Raw genomic sequence first — 6000 nt, forward strand, 5'->3', positions numbered from 1 at the left:
TATTATATTTTGGAAAGCATTCATTTAGTGAACAGAGCTTACTGAATATTAAGAATCAATTAATTTAAACTGTCAGCTCCTACAATTCTAGTCTCTACTAGAATTGGGTATAAGTTGATACATGATTCAGCACAGCTTGCTTTTTTAAAATTTAACAGTAATATGCAATTCTGTTTTATGAAGTACACTATGATTTCTAGGAACTTCATTGCCTAAGCAAGGTGGTCACTTTGCCTCATTCAATTCAGCCTTCCTAATATGGGCATCTGCTCTATTTTAACGCTATTATCTCTCTTTTATCTATTTGTTGATAGATGCCTTTGTGTACCATTTGGTTGTGCAAAAAAAAATTTCCCAGTTATTTTTGAAAAGGTACGTCTCATGTGTCAGAAATAAAGTCACTGGCATTAAATGTTCTTATAAATATTTATTGAGCACCTACCACATGCCAAATTCTATCTAAGCTAAGGAAAGTAAGAGGCATACAGTCTTGGCCTCATGTTCCTTAGTTTTAGTGGGGGAAAAAGACAAGTAAACAGACACAATACAAGGTGCTAAGTGTCACATGAAGGATGGGTTTAGCATGTCTCTTTTTGCTGATCAGCTTAGGGGAAGGAAAGCCTGTGTTAGGAGCAGGTATAAACATTATACAGTAAGTTCTCACTCAACATCCTCAATAGATTCTTGGAAACTGCAACTATAAGCAAAATGAGATGGTATAAGAAAACCAGTTTTACCATAGGCTATTTTTTTTTTTTTTGAGACAATGTCTTGCTCTGTCACCCAGGTTGGAATGCAGTGGCATGATCATGGCTCATTGCAGCATCAACCTCCTGGGCTCAAGTGGATTCTCTCTCCTCAGCCTCCCAAGTAGCTGGTACCAGAGGAATGTGCTACCATGCCCCACTAATCTTTTATTTTTTGTAGATACAGCATCTTACTATGTTGCCCAGGTTGCTCTGGAACTCCAGACCTCAAGCAATCCTCCCTCTTCAGCCTCCCAAAGTGTTGAGATTACAGGTGTGAGATGCTGCGCCTGGCCTACCATAAGCTAATTGATATAAATAAAAGTTAAGTTCCTATAGCATATTTCTGGTGACAAAAGATCACCAAACTTCTAAATAAGACTAAAGCACTTTAATATTAAACACTGAAGAAATTATGAGCCATACACACATTTAAGAAAGATTAATAAAGACAAATAAGAAAATTACTTACTCACTTACTCCAGTTCAGGATTTGGGTGGCCAGAGCCTGTCCTGCAGCTCAGGGAACCAGGCAGGAGCCAGCCCTGTACTGGATGCCATCCCATTGCAGGGTGACTCACATACACCCACAGTGACTCACACCAGGGCCATGTAGACCCACCAGTTCACTTAATATGCACATGTTTGAGATGTGGGAGGAAACCAGAATACCTAGAGAAAACCCAGGCAGACATGGGTAGGATATTCTAACTCCACACGTGCAGACAGTCTGGCTGGGAAGCTACTTTTTTCTCATCAATGGAATAACAAAACAACATTGAATAAAATGACATTATTCAAGGACCTGTTGTACTCAACAAATCAGATGGGCAGAAATGGCCATTTCTTTATTTTTCTAACAGAACTCCCATTTTTCCTTTCTGAGTGCTCCTCTTCCCACTCTCCCGAAAGAATAGTTACGGAAATGCAGCTAATTTTGGTTAAAACTTAGGCTCCTCCCTCCAGTGTATAAGCTGAAACAATGTATAATTCAAACTCCATAGCAGGGCCCTTCTGTCCCACTCAGCGTTCTCCACTCCAATCCTGCCCTGCAGTGGCATCTGGGCAGGAGACAACAAGCATAGTGTCACAGAGTTGGGAATGAGGAGTATCAAATCCATGGGCTGGACTTCAGAACCTCACTGACCTTCAGGCTCCACACAGTCTGGGCACCCTCCATGGGTATCAGCTGGATGTGACTTCCCTGCCCTGGGCTTTGGAGCATGACACTGGAATCCACTATTGAAGCCCATTGACTGGGGCCAAGTTGACAACAATCTAGGACCTTCCTGGTCCAACCACATCTTTTTGGGCCCAGGGAATTCTCACCATGCTGGGGTCATTAGGGTCCTCCAACTTCTACTCCAACCCACTCAGGCATCCCCCTCAGTCAGGCATTACTCTTCCACTGCTCTCCTGTCCTGTTGGCATGAGCCACACCAAATATGAAGCTTACAACTTGCTGGTGCTGTTTCCTGGGATTTACTCCCTGCTCTGGAGTATCTCTAAACCTTTGGAGGTGCTGCCACATGCCCCACCCTCACCCCAGGTTTTGATGACCACCCCATCTTTTAGGAGTTCCCCTTATTTTTATATCCTCATCCTTTCTCTATCCATGCTCAGTCATGGTCAATGTGAAATCTGTGCTGTGGCTTTCCTGGCTTGGCTCTTCATAGATAAACCTATAAAGCCAAGATTTGAGAAATCTTTCTCTCTCTCTCTCTCTCTCTCTCTCTCAATAAAGTTGGTGTTCTTTTTTTTTTCTTTAGCAAATTGGCAACATTTCCTATCAGATTATGTATTGTTCACAGGCTATACAAACTCTAGGAACTATCAGGGGTTATTTGGAAGAAAAACAACTGGTGTACTATTTTTCTAAATACTACACCTACAAAACATCCAATATTACCAAGGTAGCTTTACTAAGAGAGCTGAGTCATTCAAACCATCTTCCAGCCTGTCTATATTTGATAAATTAAAGGAAAAGGCAGAGATAGGTGAGTTACCATTTATTGAGTGTCAACAATACCAAGCAGAGTAATAGGTGTTTCTTCACTTTCTTTCACCCTCATAACATATCCTTTATGTAGATATCACTCCCATCTGACAGAGGAGGAAACTAAGTCTCAGAAGAGATTATTTAACTTTCCAACTTTCCCAAATGATCTGTCTAGAAGTGATGAAGCCAAAATTCACACCCAGATGTACCTGGTCCCAAAACTCATTTGCTTTCTCCTTTCCACAGTCAGCAAAACATAAGTCATCAAATGTCAGCCCAACAACATAATTAAGTTTCATGTCCTGTACGTTATTTACAGCATATGATGTCCTTTACAAAAAAAAAAAAAAACAACGGATCTATTTATTTATAACTGTTTTTCTAGTTTTTGAGTAAGCTTGATGTACTAACCTTGAGCGTTAGTGGTGGTTGATAATTGAACCTTTGGTTTTCATACCTACTGTTGGTACTATCTTGACTGGTTTAATGTGGAATCCTTGGTTACCAACAAAGAACCAGTGATAACATTACTGGGAAAATTAAACCTGCTGTTTGATAGTCTGCTTCTTAACACAGTTTCCAGGAGAGCATTCTAGTAAAAAGAGGAATTTATGCACAAATACAGATTTCCTGAGTGGCCCCAACTCAGAAGAGAGGCTGCTAAGTCCCATAAAGAGCAGAGCTTGTGGTTGAGCATGAGGCAGCCTCAATGTTGCATGCTGAAAAGAGTCATCACTGGGATCCTGGCAATTGAGCCATGACAGTCCCCAGGTTGTGCAAGTAAATATAGCTTTCCCACCATGAAAATTTTCTCAGGCTCTTCAGGGAAGACTGTGACACAGATTTCCCAAAAAAGGTAACAGCATCAGTGAAGCATTTCCTAAAGATTCAGGAGCTGAGACTCCCCAGATTGTAGGTGAAATAATCAATACAGAATTGATGTACAATTTCTTCATTTCCAAAAAAGAATTTGTGTGAGCCATGATAATAAAAGTAAAAAAACAGATTATATACAATGTGTTCTTAATACATAGATGCAACATCAAATTTAAATTGATTCATATTTTATAAAACGTCCTTTTTAATAATTTGTTATATATTATATATGTATAGATATTCATAAAGATAAATGTGTGTGCATATCGGCCTTCTATATTCACAAGTTCCATATTTGTGGATTCATTCACAGCAGATCAGAAATATTTAAAAAAACATCCAGTAGGGAGGTGGTCAAGATGGCTGACTAGAAGAAGCTAGCGTGAGTGGCTCTTACCAAGAAAAACAGAAGGGGTGAGTAAATATAGCATCCAGGTACTTGCACTGGGACTAATCCAGCAAACAGCCTAACCTATGGAGAATGGGAAAAGCAAGGAAGAACTACGGCCCACCTGGGAGCCACAGAGAGCCAAGGGAACCTCTCCCGCCCAGAGAAGCAGTGAGTGAATGTGCAATCCTGGGAACCTACGCTTTTCCCATGGATCTTTGCCAACCTCAGGTCAGGAGTTCCCCTCAGGAGCCCACTCCACCAAGGCCTTCAGAGCTGCATAGAGTCTCAGCAGAGTAACTACTCAGGCACATGTGGCAATCTGGGAACCTTAGATACTCAGGCCCTCTGGGTTTCCCAGCAAAAGCAGCTGCGACTCTGGCAAAGCAGGAGGTCAGACCCCGGAACATACCCCTAGGAAAGAGGCTGAATCCAGGGGGCTGAACAGCGACAGTCTCTATGTCCCACTTCCACAGCACCTCACAGAATAAGACCCACTGATTTGGAAATCCAGCCAGCCACTGGTAGCAGCATTGCACCTCCCTGGGAAAGAGCTCCCAGGAGGAGGGGCAGGCCACCATCTTTGCTGTTTGGACTATTTAGCCATTGCAGCCTTCAAGCTTTGTAGGGTCCAAGCCTACTGGGGGTGGAAAGGATCCCCCAGCACAGCACAGCTTCTCTACAAAAGCATGGCCAGACTGCTTAAGTGGGTCCCTGATCCTGTTCCTCCTCACTGGGTGGGACCTCCCAGCTGGGGCCTCCAGCCACCCCTGCCATGTTCTCTGGCTGACAGAGATTTGAAACCTGCCTGGGACGGAGCTCCTAAGGAGAAGGGCAGCCGCCATCGTTGGTGTTTGGGCTGCTTAGCCACTGCAGTCTTTGGGCTTTTGAGAGTCGGAGCTAACCGGGGGCAAAGGTGGTTGCCCAGCACAGCACAGCTGTTTTAAAGTGGGTCCCCGATCCCATTCCTCCTCACTGGATGGGACCTTCCAATGAGGGTCTCCAGCCACCTCTGCCAGTGCTCTATGGTGAACAAGATTTAAAACTACTCTAGGATGGAGCTCCTAGAGGGAGGAGTAGGCTGCCATCTTTGTTGTTTGGGTGAATTAGCTATTGTGGACTTCGAACTTTGGAGAGTCCAAGGCGACCAGGGACTGAAGTGGGCCCCCAGCACAGCACAGCTGCCCTACGAAAATGTCACCAGACTGCTTTTTAAAGTTGGTCCCTGATCCCATCCCTCACCACCAGGGGGGACCTCCCAACTGGGGTCTCCAGCTACCCCAGACAGTGTTCTCTGGCTGACACAGGTTTCAAACCTCGCTGAGTTGGAGCTCCCAGAGGGAGGGGCAGGCTGCCATCTTTGCTGCTTTTGTGACTTAGCTATTCTGTCCTTTGGGCTGAGGAGTGTCCAAGGAGAGCAGAGGCTTGAGCGGGCCTCCAGCACAGCACACCTGCTCTGCAAAAACATGGCCAGACTGCTTCTTAAAGTAGGTTCTTGTTTTCATTCCTCTTCAATGGGCAGGAGCTCCCAACCAAGGTCTTCAGCCACCTCCCACAGATGCATTTGGGCTGGCCACAAAGTCTGTATCTACCTGGGATGGAGGTCTCAGAGGAGAGAGCAGGCTGCTATCTTTGCTGTTTTGCAGCTTTCACTGGTGATACCTCCATGTACTAGAAAATCTGAGGTGACTAGAGACTGGAGCGGGCCTTCAGCATACCACAGCAGCCTTATGGAAAAGTGGCCAACCTGTTACATGGGGGCCCTTTCCCATATCTCCTCACCAGACAAGTCCTCCAGGCCTGGGCCTCCAGCCACGCCCTGCCAAAGCTATTGAGTCAGTAGCAACTTGGCAACTCCCTGGAAAGAGCCTCCATAGGCAACTGAAAGTCTCTCTGCCACTGCCTCTGCATTGGAACTGCCCTTGCTACCCTCAGGCTAACAAATGAGCAAAGACCCTGAGAGCTTTATCCACACCTCCAACAAGCTGCAG

The sequence above is a fragment of the Homo sapiens genome, chromosome 5, assembly GCF_000001405.40.
Source record: "Homo sapiens chromosome 5, GRCh38.p14 Primary Assembly".
NCBI lineage: Eukaryota > Metazoa > Chordata > Mammalia > Primates > Hominidae > Homo > Homo sapiens.